This window comes from Homo sapiens, chromosome 6 (assembly GCF_000001405.40).
Source record: "Homo sapiens chromosome 6, GRCh38.p14 Primary Assembly".
Taxonomy (NCBI): domain Eukaryota; kingdom Metazoa; phylum Chordata; class Mammalia; order Primates; family Hominidae; genus Homo; species Homo sapiens.
In genome coordinates this window covers 24,998,409-25,014,905 of record NC_000006.12, presented here as the reverse complement: position 1 = coordinate 25,014,905, position 16,497 = coordinate 24,998,409, and the positions used below count along the sequence as shown (strand labels likewise).

At 41.1% G+C, this 16,497-nt stretch overlaps 1 protein-coding gene across 5 annotated transcripts in view, besides 1 other annotated feature; it reads left to right on the top strand.

Moving 5' to 3' along the window:
- Positions 1 to 16,497, top strand: part of RIPOR2 (RHO family interacting cell polarization regulator 2) — a 237,885-nt gene that overhangs the window by 27,263 nt on the left and 194,125 nt on the right. The window lies entirely within an intron of this gene.
- Positions 5,688 to 5,840: a silencer, noted in NCBI's record as "fragment chr6:25009294-25009446 (GRCh37/hg19 assembly coordinates)". NCBI's record gives its function as "represses an EF-1alpha promoter that drives an FKBP-Casp9 reporter gene in an ReSE screen in K562 erythroleukemia cells {active_cell/tissue: K562}" and the evidence as "EXISTENCE:reporter gene assay evidence [ECO:0000049][PMID:32094911]".

The window sequence follows — 16,497 nt, the reverse complement described above, 5'->3', positions numbered from 1 at the left end:
AACAAAACCCAACAATGCAAACAAACTGAATGATCCCTCGGGCCCTTCTCACACACTCGTGGGCTCTGTTTTGTGTCCTTGTCCCTAGTGACCAAAAAATTTCAACTCATAATAATTTGTGCCATGTTACACACAACTTTCGATCATTTAGGGATGGACTGTCTAAATTTTGGAGCTCTTTGGTGCCTTCATTTCTCCTCCTTGTCCTTCCCACTACTGCTGTATCTGCCATTTTGCCAGCATCTCTTTCAGAGGGCAAATAGAGGAAATGAAACACACATTGTTTAATTTGACACTTATTAGCACCCCTCCAAAGGCTTTTATTAGGACAATGGGAACTAGTGAAATGACTTGTGGGGATTATCTGTGGTTCATGCCAACCCTGTTTCCAGAATCATGTGCAATCTTTAGTTGGCTCTATTTCGAAATAGCTTCTATTAGTTATCTCATTATTTCGATAAGGTAGCTCATGAAGTCAAATAAATACCAGCTGCTTCTTTAAAAAGAAATCTTTGTGTCTCTCAAAAAGTGAGAGCTATTGAGATGTGAGGTAGAAAAGGCTACAGGATATTTCAAGGTGATTGTAGTTTTGTTTGGATCCTACTTACCAGTTGCAAGTTGACCCATTGAAAGGAAAATTAACTACATTAGGATTCAGCCACAAATGTCAGCCGTGTCTTCAAGCAAGCGGTTTAAAGCTCACGGATTTCAGTTCCCTCATCTGTAAAATAAGAAAATTTGACAACATTAATTCTAAGGTCTGCTCCAGGCCTAAAATTCTGTTTCCCTCTGGGAATTCTGGAAAACCTAAGCCCCAACCTTGCTGATGCATTTTGATAAATTAGGGTTGAAAAATACGAGGGGTAACCGTAAGAGAGAATCATCCAAAAACCCAAAATCAACATTGAAGCCACTTCCAGTCCTAAATTTTTGGCCTGCTTCCCAAAACTTCCCTCTACCTCCATCTCTTTACCTAACTCCTCACTCCATAATCTTTTAAAATAAAAAGGCAACGAAGAAAGTGCAAGTGTCTGGCTTGAATTATTAGCTTCCTTAAATTCAGTGTGCCTATTGTAGAAAGGACTTTTTTACATGGAGTGGGAGACTGAACTACAGGAACTCCAAGCACCATTTCAACACTCACTTTCTGATTTGAAAATTTGATATTAATTATACAAAAGAGCCAGTGCAGAGAACCCCTATAGGCCCAGGTCACAAACTTGTAGTATATCAGCCCACAGATGTTTTGTTTGGCCCACAAATATGATTTACATTTCCGTTAAGTTTGGTTGTCAGCATTTAAAACATAAAGATTTTGCATGAAAAAAAATTCAGGTGTTCAGTGTCTATTTGTAAAACTGGCAGAGCTGATGAAGGTGGGCTCACCTCCCTACAGTCCCCTGATGCTCAAGGGGCCGCCCCTTCAGGCAAAGCAGGTGCTCCCCCTTCAGGCAGAGTAGGTGCTGCCCTCCCAGTATACCACAGTCCACACCCCGCTATAGCCTCATTCATTCCCCCTGCCCTACACTGTGCACAGGGGAGTTGCAGATGCTTGACTTACTGGCTCCTCAAGGAACACCCGTGGTCTTCAGACCACCACTGAAGAATCACTGTTCTGAAAGAAAAAAAAAATCACTGACCTTTCAGAAAATACATCCTGAGAATTATCCAATCAAACGTTAGAGCTTCTTTGGGGAGATCCATGCTTATTTAATGATGTTTTAAAAACAAAGAAAAGAAAAAAGCAAAACAGCAATCTGAACATCAATGACAGCTGTTCAGTAGGTGGGATGCTATTTTTGCTTATTCTAATGAACACAGTGTGCCAGACAGCATTCTGCAGATGCTCACCTCTCTGGAAGAAAAAGGAAAAAAAAAAAAACCCAGAGATGGAGTGCTATTTAATCAGACCACTCTCTGATAAGAGAATAACTAGTGATCCTGGCCCCCCATCCCCTCCGTATGGAGGCAGGGATTGTGCAATCTGTTTTTTTTTAAAACAACTTTGTTGAGATGTGATTCATATACCATAAAATTTGACCTTTCAAAACATACAGTGGTTTTTAGCATATTTGCCAAGTTGAGCAGCCATCATCACTATCTAATTGCAAAATGTTTTCACCACTGCAAAAGGAAACCCGGTCCCCATTAGCAGGCACTCCTCATTCCAATCTCCCCTTCCCCCAGCCATAGGCAAGCACTAATCTACTCTCTATCTCTATGGATTTGTATATTTTGGATATTTTATATAAATAGGATCATCTGATCATAAGTAACATTTTGTGTCTGATTTGTTTCAATTAGCATAATGTTTTTAAAGCTAATTTATTTTGTAGCATGCATCAGTACTTTCATCCTTTTTATAGACAAATTATATTCCATTGTATGGATAAACCACATCATGTTTACCCATTTTCTCTATTGATGGACATTTAGGTTGTTTCTTTTTGGCTATTATAAAAAATGGCACTGTGAACACTTGTGGACAGGTCATTATGTGTATATATGTTTTCATTTTTCTTGGGTTTATACCTAGAACTGAAATTGGTGGATCATATGGTAATTCCATATTTAACTTCTGGAAGAACTGCCAAATTATTTTCCTCAGCGGCTGAATCTTTATATTCTCATCAGCAATATATGAGAGCTTCAATTTCTCCACATTCTCAAGAACATATGTTATTATATTATCTATCTTTTTTAGTTTAACCATCTTACCAGGATCTCATTATGGTTTTAATTTCTATTTCCTTGATGACATATGACTCTGAGTATCTTTTCATGTGATTATTAGCCATTTGCATATCTCCTTTGGAGAAATGTCTATTCAAACTGTTTACCCATTTTAAAAATTTGGTTATTTGTCTTTTTATTGTTAGTTTTAAGAGTTCTCTATATGTTCTGGACACAAGCCCCTTATCAGATATATGATTTGCAGATATTTTCTTCCATTCTGTGGATTTTCTCCTCATTTTCTTACTAGTGTCTTTTGAAATACAGAAGTTTTGATTTTGATGATGTCCAATATTATCTATTTTGTATTTTGTCACTTACGCTTTTACTGTCATGTCTAAGAAATCATTACATAACGCCAGGTCACAAAGAATACTCCTGCAGATTCCTCTAAGAGTTTTATAGTTTTAGCTTTGACATTTGGGTCTACGGTCCATTTTTAGCTAGTATTTATCTACGGTGTGAGACAGGGCCATGCAGTCAATTTTTAGTAGTTAAGAACTTGCTTCCTTTTACTTATGCTCCAGCCTGTGCTTTATTAAAGAATATAAAAATATAAGAATGTAATCCCAAGAAACAATAAACTTTGCTTGGCTTCCCGATGTAACACCATCCAATTCCCCTCACACATTATAGTGTAACACAGGCCAACAGATAAAGTTTTCCTTTGTGGAAAAGCAGACTAAACTGTGGTTTGATGACTATGTGACATATTCTAGAGTTCAGATACAAGATCCAAAGTAATGTGGCAGTGATGCCTGGAGCCCTGTCAATCCCCGTGTCATCCCCAGTGTCTCACCAGAAGACTGGATCCTGGGAAACTGCTCCTTCTGGAGACTTCCTTTTGATTACAATGCACACACATATATGCACACATTATATACATGCACACACATATATACCTACATGTACATATACATATGTGGACATATATATAAACCCAATTCCTAATTTATAAAATTTATAAAATATTAAAACATGTAACCACCATTTCTGTTGGCATTCCTAGCCTCCCTCCACTGCTCATTGCCAAATTCTTCTTTTCCAATGAGTCATTGTAAAAACAAATTTTTTTTCATAGATTCTGTAGATGAAAAAGTGAAGAACAGGATGAAGTAACATGGGAAGATATTTGAAGGCAGAAGATATAAGGGACAGACTCAAGCAGGGTCCCAACTAGAGAGAACAACCTTTCCCAACCACCCAGGCAGAGAAGCCATTCTTTATCTGTGTCCCTATGCTACTTGCACACACTTCTAGTGTAGCACGCATGGGGATCATTTGTTGGCAGTGGTGTCTTCCCCTATAACCTATATGCTCCTCAAAGGCAAGAAGTCCATCTTATTTATTTTTGTATCTCATCCTGTCTAGTGTCCCTTGTAGCACCAGAGACCTAGCAAGCACTAAAAAAATGTTGGCTTAAGAAACGTTTACGGAGTGGAAGTGGAAGGAAATCTTTTCTTTCCTGCTTGCCTGAATAATATAGGATCTATAGCACAGGCTCCTACTTATAAAGCCCATATAAATCCTGGCGCTCCCATAGCCCAATCCTAGTATAGAGTTCTAGTCAAAAAATGCCATCTAACAAGAAAAAGTAATTTTAAAATAATTCTAATTTTCACTTGAATCTCTTGAAGGACACTGTCTCAGTTCATTTTGTTTTGCCCTAAAGGAAAAACTGTGTAATCTGTCAAGTAAAGAGGCTTATCTGGCTCATGGTTCCGCAGGCTGTACACGAAGCCTCGCACCAGCATCTGCATCTGGTGAAGGCGTCAGACTGCTTCCACTCAAGGCGGGAGGTGAAGGGGTGCCAGCTCTGTAGAGCTCATGGGGTGACAGAGGAGGAAAGGGGGAGGAAGGAGGGCCAGGCTCTTTCTAACAACCAGCTCTGGTGGGAAGAGGGGACTAATATAGTGATGATTCAATCATCCCCAGGGAGGGCACGAGACTGTTCATGAGGGATCTGTCCCCATGGCCAAACACCTCCATTAGGCCCCACCTCCAACATTGGGATTAAATTTTAACCTGAGGTTAATGGGGGACAAACATTCAAACTATAGCAAACATTAAAAAGAATTAAACTCATAACCTACTATAATACCTGTAAACATTTTCCATTTGCTTCCTCTCCAGTTTTCTCTTCTCTTGAAGCTGTTCTTGATCCTCTGTCTCTCTGAACTACTTCCTCCTAACTCTCTCCTGGAAGTTCTTCTGGGCATCCGTTCTCCCATGCTCTCCTGCCTCATGCCACACCACAGGGCCTTTCCTGCTGGCCACAAAACCCACTTGGCCCAGGGCAGTAGAAGGCTGTGTGGCCTCTTTGCTTGGAGACAGTTGAGTCCCCACCTCCACCCACAGGAAGTATCGTTCTTTCCTTATCCTGCTTTCCTCCCAAAAAATAATCATAAAGAATTTCTGGAATTCTATTATCTGTTAATATTACTTGTTATCTCATGAGTTAGATAGACTTTATGGGAGAGCTTGAAACTTGACCACCATTTAAAACACGGTTTCTGCGGGAAAGGCCACCATACATACTGAACCGCTGATTTACAAGCCAACTTTTGGAATACAACTTATTCATAAGCTGGGAGCCATCTGGGTGGTAACGAGCTTTGTGGTTTCTTCTTTTGGTTTCATGGTTTTGAATGAAGTTTGATCAAAGTTAAAATGGAGGAAACATTTCCTACGAATTCATTGGTATTTATCTGGCAGAAGTAAATATTTCTGGAGGAATATGGACTTCAGAATGGTAAGACGATTTCTAAGGGATTTCTCTTGTTTAATCGACCAAATTAACAACTCAGGCTGGAGTATTTAGGATTGAGTTACCAGAAAGAGGAAAGTGAATTCAGAGAAACTGCTAATCAAGATAAAGGTTGAAAGGCAGAGAAGCAAGGGATAAAGAACACTGTATTCTGTCTGACCTGCTTACAGAAGCAGGTCTTCTCCTGTTTTTGACACTGGTCTTAGTAAGCTCCTCTTCCCTTTGTGCTCCCTACTGCGAGGGGCTTGCCTTTCCCCACGAGACCAACATCACTCGCCCATGCTTTTGAAGCCAAGAGCAGTGGGATGCCACCAGCAAGACCCTGCATCAATTAGAGCTCCAGTCTCTGCTTTTGTTGCCTTCTCTGAGGTGAGGCAGCAGTCAGCATGGACAAGAGCCATCCTGCATCAGTGTCCTGGCTTCATCCCTAACAAGCTACATGAGCTCAAGCAAGCTATTGACCTCTCCCTGCTTAGTTTCCCAATATACCAAGTGGAAAGTAGCACCTGCTGAACTGCCAAGAACAGTGCTTCTCAACCCTGGCACTTCCCTAGAGGGAATGGAAGGAGACCCACAAATGCCAATGGCTCCTCCAGAGCCATCATCTTGCCTATCTCCTCATCAAATTTCCTTGGCATCCTGACCAATTTCTACCACTTTTATTCTTGGAGCAGATGTCAGAGAGGCCACTTTCTTTGGAAATCATCTCCTGCTCCCTTTCATATCTGAAATCTCTTATTGTATTGGTGTCCTATTGCTACTGTAACAAATTACCCAAAATATAGTGGCTTAAAACAGTGTAATTTTATTATGTTTTATAGGCCAGAAGTCCAAGTCTTATAGGCCAGAAGTCCAAAATGGATCTTACAAGGCTTAACTCAAAGGCTGCATTCCCCTCAAGGCTTGGAGCCTGTTTCCTTGCCTTTTCCAGCTTCTAGAGCCACCTTCGCTTGTGGCCACAGCATTTCAGCCTTTGCCACTGTCCTCACATCTCTTTCTCTGACTGACCCCTCTTATGGGGACCCTTTTGAGTACATCAGGCCCTCCTGCATGATCCAGGGCCATCTCCCCATCTCAAGACCCTTAACTTAGCTGGGCACGGTGGCTCACGCCTGTAATCCCAGCACTTTGGGAGGCCGAGGCGGGTGTCTCACGAGGTCAGGAGTTCGAGATCAGCTTGACCAACATGGTTGAAAAAAAAAATGCTTAACTTAATTATATCTGCAAAGTCCCTTTCACCATGCAGTTCTAGAGACTAGCATGTGGATGTGTTTGGGGGACCATCATTCAGCTACCATGCTTGTCTTGGCATCACAGTAAAACATGAGGCAGATTCTTACTACTGATTTTAATAAAAATAGTTTTAAAATATTTTTAAAAAATAAAAATAAGGCAGAAACAGTTCCATTTGACATTTTCATTGGAGGTATTTCCAGTGTTTCCAGCATTGGTTGCCTGGGATGATGCCACTAAACATGATAGGAAATAGAGGTCGGGGGCAAACTAGGGGTGAGGGCAGGTGGGGCTACAGCATGCTTATTTGTTGGTATGTTGTGTTTGAGGTCCCTCCCGGATATCAATGTAGAAATGTCTACAGCAGTTGGAAGAACAGCTCTGGGGCCGGGGAGAAAAGCCTGGGCATGGATGTAAATGTGGAGTTATTGACAGAGATGATACAGTTGAAGCCATGGGGGTGCCTAAGATCACCGAGAAGGAAGATGGGGAGGGCAGGAAGGAAGGGCCAAGAGTGCAAGGTGTCTGGGGAAGAAGAATAAGGTCAGAGAGCACAGGACTTTTAGAGAGGCCAAAGGAAAATGAAGTAACAATTATAAAGATAATAATTGCCTGCATATTGGTAAAGTGAAACTTCATTTGATCATATCTTGCTTATTATGTACATAGGGAAAACCCACTCATTTTATTTATGGTAACATTTTTCAGTATGTCACATTCACAAAATTGACCAAGTGAGGATTTGTCATAGTATTGAGCGCCCGTGGTGGAGCAGGCAGTGTCAGTGATGAGAATGTGAAAATGAATCAGCAGGTCCTTTGTGCTCACTTCTTCAACCCACAGGATAAGACCAACAATATCAGAGAAGTTACCTCCTCTGAGAAGCAGGCCACTACTCAGGTGGACTAGAAGATCCAGCTTACCGTGTAGACACAGAATAGCCTCTGTTCATGGTATTTTGCCTTTAATAGGCTTTTCTTTATCTATTGAAGATATTAAGATACTGGCCATTCTCTCCAGCAGTATTAAGAAGACTAATAATAATAATAACAAAAGTCCATGTCACCATAGCCAAAACAGAAAACAGAGCAGAAACTTGGTGAAGTTAATCAAATAATTGCTGCAGGCCCTTGGTTATGGAGAACTCTCCCTGCTTTTGGTTGAGCAAGAGACCCTCCCAGAGCCTGGCACTGGGATTCCCACAGCGTTCCATTCCAGAGCCACAGGGTCCCAGCAGGCACACCACACAGCATTTGAGTTCCAGCTCCTCTAGGCTTTCAGCCATGGCACAGTTTGTTTGTTTTTCCCCAAAGCAAAGTGCTGCCTGGCAGCTGAAAAGAGTGCATGTTTCCTCTTTCTCAACCTGGCTTCTTATATAGCTGTGCTATATTTGGCAGCTCAGTCTTACTTCCTATTCCAAATGCTTCCTCTTCCTGTGGGGAGAATTCTCAGAACTCTCGTGGCTCTGGTAGGTGTTATCAAAAACTTGTGCAAGGCCACTTGGTGGTACAGTCCGTACTCCACAGAGCCACCTCCCAGCTCAGTGACTCACCTGTGCCTGGAGGACACAGGGGATGAACTCTTCAAAAAAAGAACAGAGAGTTCCAGGACACCTTTCACTTGAATTGTGATGAAGGTTTAATAATGAACAAAAGCAGAGGGAGATTGGAATTTGTGGGGGTGAGGTGGCAAGAGAGATTTGAAAAGACAGATGAGACTTTAAGGCCTGAAGACAAATACAATTTATTCCTCAAAGAAAAAGTAGTAATTATTTGTTTGAGATCTATCTTCCCCTGTAGACTATAAGAATCATGAGAACCATGAGAGGCCATGCCATTTTTTGTGCATTGTTTTAACTCTAGTAAAGTGCTGGCTGGTATTATAGTAGGTGCTCAATTAATGTTTATTGAACAAATGAATAAACGAATGAATGAAGGCAGAAAGAGGCATGAGCATTGAAAAGTAATCCTTTAAAAACATGTGTTGGTATATGGAAAGAGAAAGAAAAACTGTATACATGTTAACAGTATTTATTTCTGAGTGGAGGGATTAGAGAGTATTCTAATTGTTTTCCTTTTATGATTTTCTGTTGTAGTCTCATTTTCCTATAATGATTTCTCATGCCTGTTTAACAGAAATATTTTAAAGTAAGGATTCAAAATTTAAAAAGCCTGGAAGGAAATATATAAACCTTAGAGCAGCTTTTGTGCTGGGCATAGAATTGTAGAGTTTTATTTTATTTTCTGAATGTTCTATTGCTTTCATCATCTGAGAACACTTTTGAAACGAACAAGTTAGTGAGTCACCATGGCAGGAGAGCACTATTGTAGGAGGGCTGGGATCCCAGAGCTCAGTGATCATGAAGAAAATGTCAAGTTAAACAGGAGAAGAAGGTGATGTATATAATGGCATATCTTTTGATCGGTAAATGTATATATATATATATATATATATATATATATATATATATATATATATCTCCATAGGGATTTTATTTTTGAAACACCCCTTGGAAATACCTGCCACATTCACCAGAAGCTAAATAGGTCCTGCATAATTTCTTCATTCCCACTTGTGAGAGACTATGTCTCTGACTTTGTTCACAGTTAAGGATAATTTTTTTTCATTGACTAAGATGAGACATAGATTTCTTATGCTTCTTTCAAATGAAAACTTATAAATACCGGCTATTTAGGGATATTTTACAATTGCACAGGTAGGAAAATCAGAACACAAAATATCATTGTTGTATAGATGCTCTGCAGGTCTGTGCAGGTCGCTCTATGACACTTATGGATTAATGGGGAGTTTTGTCTGGTAAATTGATTTGTAATCTGCTGGAGAAACATTTTGAGCTGTATTTGGTTTGATTAAGGTGGAACCTAGTCTAAATCTACGGACAACCCGGTCAGAGTCAGCCTCGTAGATGAAAACCCCAGGGCCTCCTTCAACCTCTGGTGACCACAACAGTGTGAAGTGTTACTGCAGGAGTAGCCACTCCAATCCTGTTAGCTCTGCCAGATAGGGAAATAGGCAGAGAAATTCTCCTGGTGCAAAGCTATCAGCTGTAGCTTAAGGGTGAAAGAATTCACTAATTAATACCATGATGTTGGGGGTAATAGAATGGATGACACAGCAGAGTGTGTGTGTGTGTGTGTGTGTGTGTGTGTGTGTGTGTGTGTGTGTAGCCTATTTGAATACATTTGGGGTACTAGCTTTTGATTCAGATCATAACATATTTGGATGGTTGGAATTAAAACAATGGGGAATTAAAATGTGAGAATACTAAAGTACCTTAAGGAAGGAACTGGAAAAATGTTTGTCTCCCTTCAAAGACAGCAGATTTACATGCACACACGTGCGCATGCACACATACATACAAACACACACACACACAAACTAGATGCCAGTAAAACAAAACAAAACAAAACAAAAAAATGGCATGGCTTCTCTCCAAAAACAACCCATACAAACTCTAAAAGGGCATCCTTCAGTTTTCTGCCTCCAGTTCGGGACAAATAGTCCCTCAGCAGCCCCTTGCATAATGGGATCTCTCTGATTGGCCTGCTGAGCAGGGATCCCTGGCTTCTTGAGTCCTGATGCTGGCTACTGTCAAATCAGTGCTGTTTGCAGGCACTCATCTCCCTTCTTGGCAGGAGAAAACCTGGAGAGGAGGCGACAAGGTGGAGAAAAATCCAGTACAGGGGGTGAATGGTGAACATAAAGGAGAAGCTGTTACCCTCTCCAGGCCAAGGAGAACTGCTGTGGAAATGCTACACTGTGACCAAGCAGTAGGGATTATGAGGTATACAGAGACTTTTTTTAACTTGCATCTGATTGTGTGATATTTAGTTACATGACTTTGGTGGTCTAAAGCCTGTCTGTGCCTTGTTCTTTTTTTCCATATCCATCATTCAACAATCGGATCCTATGAGTTATTCCATTTTAATTTCCATCTTTCACTGAGTTTGGGTATCATTGTGGTTGTTAGGTATTTTAGCCAGATTTAGTGCTTTTTTGAGGTATTCAGAAACTGTCTATAAGTCTCAGGAAGTTGAGACAATGAACATGTCACAACCATAATATCCCTTGGTTTGTTTCTACTCAGTTACTCCTTTTCACTGTGGGCTGCTCAAATCCCCTCCAGATGCACTATTGTGTGTTTAGGACATATAAAATACCACTAGAGCTGCTTCCATTTGTACTTTATTCACACAGTGACATGACAAATGAAAGAAGAGTGGTAAATGGTCATAACTGAACTGGGGTCAGATTTATTAGACTATTTTTAACATACGAATTCAAAAATACTATTTGAACAAGTAAGTATCTGAAGTTTGCACTTACCTGTTGGAAAAGCTAAGACTGGAACGCATTCTACTGAAAATATAAAAAAGTTAGGCTTGGAATAAGAGGTAATGCTACCTTTAAAGGAGATTTTAGGCCAGGCATGGTGGCTCATGTTTGTAATGCCAGCACTTTGGGAGGCCAAGGTGGGCAGATAGCTTGAGCCCAGAAGGTGGAGACCAGACTGGGCAACATAGTAAGACCCCGTCTCCACCAAAAAATAGAAAAATTACCCAGGTGTGGTGGTGCACGCATGTAGTCCCAGCTACTTGGGAGGCTGAGGTGCAAGGATCACTTGAGCCCAGGGAGGTTGAGGCTACACTGAGCCATGACTGCGCCACTGCACTCCAGTCTGGGCAACAGAATGAGATCCTGTCTCGAAAAGAAGAAAAAGGAGATGATAATAATAATAATAATAATAATAATAATAATAATAATAATGTGTTAATTCTGAAAAACTGATAATTCATGTAGACCTCTTTCAAAGAGGAAAGAGTTAAATAAAAATAAATCTTGAGATACCTCTTACCCAATGATACTCTCAAAGGCTGAAGTCAAAATATGTTTTCTGCATTTTCTTCCATGATTGCTGAATGGTTTTGTGTTTTAGAAATGCATGCTCTGAGAAAGGTTACTTAGAAAGTTTTAAAGATTCGACCCTATGTGAACGGTCGAGAAGTGACTCACCAATCTTTTCTCTCTACAATCTAATCCGCTTGATAAAAATAAAAGTGAATCGTAAACATGTTTTATAAAACCTGTTCCATGTTTTAACCATAAAATGTTCCATGGAATATAAAACATAAAAATGTTCCATGTTTTAACTGCAGAAATATTCGCAGGAGCTGCAACCCTTATGAACTTGTCTTAAATCACTTTTTGTACTTGGATCTTTTGCAAATTGCAAAAGGCACATTGCCGGCTGCAACTTCGGACGAACCACACATTCCATTTCAAGATGGCTGTTTAATCTTTCTCAGACTTGACAATGCTCAGGCAATTGTCACCATGACGTTCATTCACCTCGGACTGCCACTTTCCTGTGGCTGCCATCACTTCTACATGTGGTATTTTTGATTGACACCGTGCCAGGTGGAGCTGAGTCCCTGCTTTCATTCTTGTCCAGGGATTTTGTGACAAAAAGCTGAATGTGATTCAGAAAGAAATAACATGTTGTATATCTAAAACACCTGGTTGTCTTTAAAGGGCACTGTTGCTTCTGCAGGTTCCTTCAGTATTTGTAAGGAGAAAACATGAAATACAGGTTTTGCTTTCTATGGAAACGTGCAGGAAGTAAAAAAGCTTCCACTTCTTGAGCGTTCACTGAATAGATAAGGAAATGTGAATGATTCACAGTGGACCTTATTTCCTAAAGCATGTTGAACATATTTAAACAACAAAAAGATGAACAATGAAGAAATACATACCATTTGGATAAGTCCTTCTGTAACAGGTGGTTGTTATCTTAATTTTTATGAATGTAGAGTCTACGAGTTGGAGGACATACGTTATGTTCTTGTCCACAGAATTTGTACTTTACCATAGTATTTGGTAAGAAAATACCCAATACTTATATGGTTGTCCTAACGTTTAGGTAATTTTGTTTTAAATGCCATTTACTGAATGCTCTAGTCATACCTATAGTCTAAGGAAAAGGTTGGCACACTATGATTGGTATACCTAGTGCAGCTCACTGCTGTTTTGTATATACAGTTTTATTGGAACATAGCCAACCTCATTTGCTAATAATTTGTCTATGCCTGTTTTCAACTACAATGGTAGAGCTGAATAGTTGCATCAGAGAAAGTAAGGCCCACAGGCTGGGCGCAGTGGCTCACACCTGTAATGCCAGCACTTCGGGAGGCTGAGGCGGGTGGATCACAAGGTCAGGAGATCGAGGCTGTCCTTGCTAACATGGTGAAACCCCATCTCTACTAAAAATACAAAAAAAAGAAAAAAATAGCCAGGCATGGTGGCACGCGCCTGTAGTCCCAGCTACTTGGGAGGCTGAGGCAGGAGAATCACTTAAACCCGGGAGGCGGAGGTTGCAGTGAGCCAAGATCGCGCCACTGCACTCCAGCCTGGGCGACAGAGCGAGACTATGTTTAAAAAAAAAAAAAAAAAGAAAGAAAGGAAAAAGAAAGTAAGGCCCACAAAGCCTAAAATATTTACTCCGTGATTTTTTTTTTTTTTTTTTTTTTGAGATGAAGTCTCGCTCTGTCGCCCAGGCTGAAGTGCAGTGGCGTGATCTTGGCTCAATGCAACCTCTGCCTCCTGGGTTCAAGCAATTCTCCTGCCTCAGCCTCCTGAGTAGCTAGGATTACAGGTGCCCGCCACCGCGCCCAGCTAATTTTTTTGTATTCTTAGTAGAGACGGGGTTACACCATGTTGGCCAGGCTGGTCTCAAACTCCTGACCTCGTGATCCGCTCACCTCAGCCTCCCAAAGTGCTGGGATTACACGCGTGAGCCACTGCACCCAACTACTCTCTGATCTTTTACAGAAAAAGTTTGCTAACCCCTGACCTAAGTTATTAAAATTTTAGGACTGAAAATATGTATATTGTCTCTGTATTTGTATGATTACATAAATGCATATGTGTATACCTATATGTAGCTACATATGCATATATACCTATGTATGGTATACATACACATATGCAAATATATAAATATGTGTATAAGCATATAGATACATGAGTATATGTGTGTTTACACGTATATATGTGCATGTATATGTACATGTGCGTATGTGTGTGCACATGCACCAGATTAATTGAATTCTAAGCAGGACATCGCTAGGGAATGGTATCTTTAATTACACCTGAAAAAAAATCGAGGTCCGCAGCCCCTTTCCTGAACATACTGACTGGCCCTCCTCCATTTAAGTGGTAAATGATGCCTGGTCAATATACAGGAATTATGTTCTTTGCCTCCTCCACTTATGGGTCCATCTCTGGAGAAAGCATTTCTCCACGGATGTTTATAGCCAAGAACTTGAGTCAGTATTTCCTTGCTGCTGGTCCAGCATGCTGGGGAACAACAAAAGCAGCAATGCTGGGGAACTTCGGGGCAGCAGGCTCAGTGCTGGATTCCTTGGTGAGAACCTTCTACTTTTCCACAGAGATACTCCAGGCCCCACCAAGAGCAGAAAGAAAAGCCAGCACGGGAAGAAAAAAAAAAGGAAAAAGCAGTACAGAAAGAAAATAGAGGCTGGCTGTATGTAAAACATGAACAATGTAGCCTAACATTGTTAATTAATTTTAGTTTGGGAAAAAGAAGTGCTGCATTAACTGTAGATTAAAATACAGATATAAAACCCCTCAAGCCAGATATTCATGAGTTCACTTATTCATTTAATAAATGACTAATTGAGCACTTACTATGTGTCAGGGACAGGGCTGGGCTCAGGAGATACAACAGTGCACAGGATACACTCCCTGCCCTTACAGACCTGACAGTACAGTCGGGGAGGAAGATGGGTGAACTCTTACATTGGAGTGCATTGTGTGAGTTTTCGCGAGTGGTCAGCATGGAGTGCTACAGAGCTAACATGAAGGATGCCCAAACTTCCTGACACCTTCATTGGTCAGGAAAGGGTTCCTGGAGGAAGCAACCTCTAATGGAGAGTGAAGTGAAAGTAAGAGTTGTCCAGGTGAAAAGACACCAGTAAGAACCTTCTAGGCAAGAGTGCCAATGTGTGCATAGGACTAGACTTGAGAGAGACCATGGTATTGGGGATATGCAAATGGCCCTGGGTGGCTGGGGCCATGAAGGCAAAAGATGAAGGGTGGCAAGGAATTGGGCAAGGCATACTTGAAGCTAAAAATCTCAGTCAGCTGGCTGACCTTCTCTCACCACCACCTGATACTGATGGGCTCAGAGAGGTCCCCAAACATGGTTGAGACCTCGACTCCAGCTGGTGTCCAGGCTCTTGACACTGTTGCAAGAAGGAATTCAAGGATGAGTCAGGGCTGGGCGCGGTAGCTCATGCCTGTAATCCCAGCACTTTGGGAGGCTGAGGCAGGTGGATCAGGAGGCCAGGAGATCAAGACCATCCAGGCTAACACAGTGAAACCCTGTCTCTACTAAAAATACAAAAAAATTAGCCAGGCGTGGTGGTGGGCGCCTGTAGTCCCAGCTACTTGGGAGGCTGAGGCAGGAGAATGGCGTGAACCCGGGAGGTGGAGCTTGCAGTGAGCCGAGATCATGCCACTGTGCTCCAACCTGGGGAACAGAGCGAGACTCTGTCTCAAAAAAAAAAAAAAAGGATGAGTCAGAAAATAGTGAAAGTACAGAGATTTGTTGCAGAGGGAAAATTACACACTCAAGAGAAGGGAATGTGGTTGTAGACAAGAGTCATGCACAAGGGGGTTTGGGGTTGCTACCTTCATGGGTTTCTTTAACCAAAGCAAGGGGTGGAATATTCACGAAAATTCCTGGGAAAAGGTGGAGATTTCTCAGAATTGTCATGCCGCCCACTTTTCCAGCAAGTATAGATGTTCTTGGAACTGTCATGGCACTGGCAGGTGTGTGATTTGTATGTTAATGAGCATATAATAAGGTCCTAGGTGAAACCTAAGTAGGATCCAGCTCCATGTTGGGTCCAGTCAGTCTCAGTCAGCTTGGTCCACACCTGGTTTTTCAGGGTCTTATCAGCCCATAGCCTCTAGTTATGTGAAACTGCTGCCTGGAATTTTTATTCTCCTGTAACCACCCTGTAAGTTTCCTGTCTCACATCCAAATCAACATCCCCAAGATTCCCTATCAGCCTTCATTTGATCTCCCAGATCAATTAGGAGGAAGGAACACTCTGATTCAGTGCTATGTGGAGTCACCCTGGAGCCTGAGGCAAAAGGAATATGCATCCCTATAGTGTACATTCACCCAAAAATGTTCCTATAGTTTGTGGAAGAAGTCAATACAAGCTCTACAATAAAAAAAAAAAAATGACTGCATATAAAGTTCCACATTGTCCAATCTGTTCCCGTGCCATTGTCAACTCTCATTGACAAGGTCTGTCCTGGCCAACCTTGGGCCGATTGGAATTCCTGTTCCACAATAACCCAGGGTCATAAAACAAATAACAGCAGCCTGTCTTCACCTAATTTTTTGATATTTTGTTTATTGTAGATTTTTTTTGCCCATAGTCTATAGATGAGAAATATATAGGATCCAGGTGGTAAAAAATCATGTGAAAAATGGTAAGCAGTTTGCATTTTGTATAGGGGCAATGGAGAGACGTTGAAAGGCTTTGAACATGGAAACAAAGGAATCAGATTTTCTGGGTTAGAAATATCATTCTAGTTGCAGATTTGAGGGTAGATTTGGGATGCTAGATTTTTTGATAGAAACATCTGTATTTATAGTCACCAAAAATATCCCTTGGGGGATTGCTATTAACTTTATAAAAATGGTT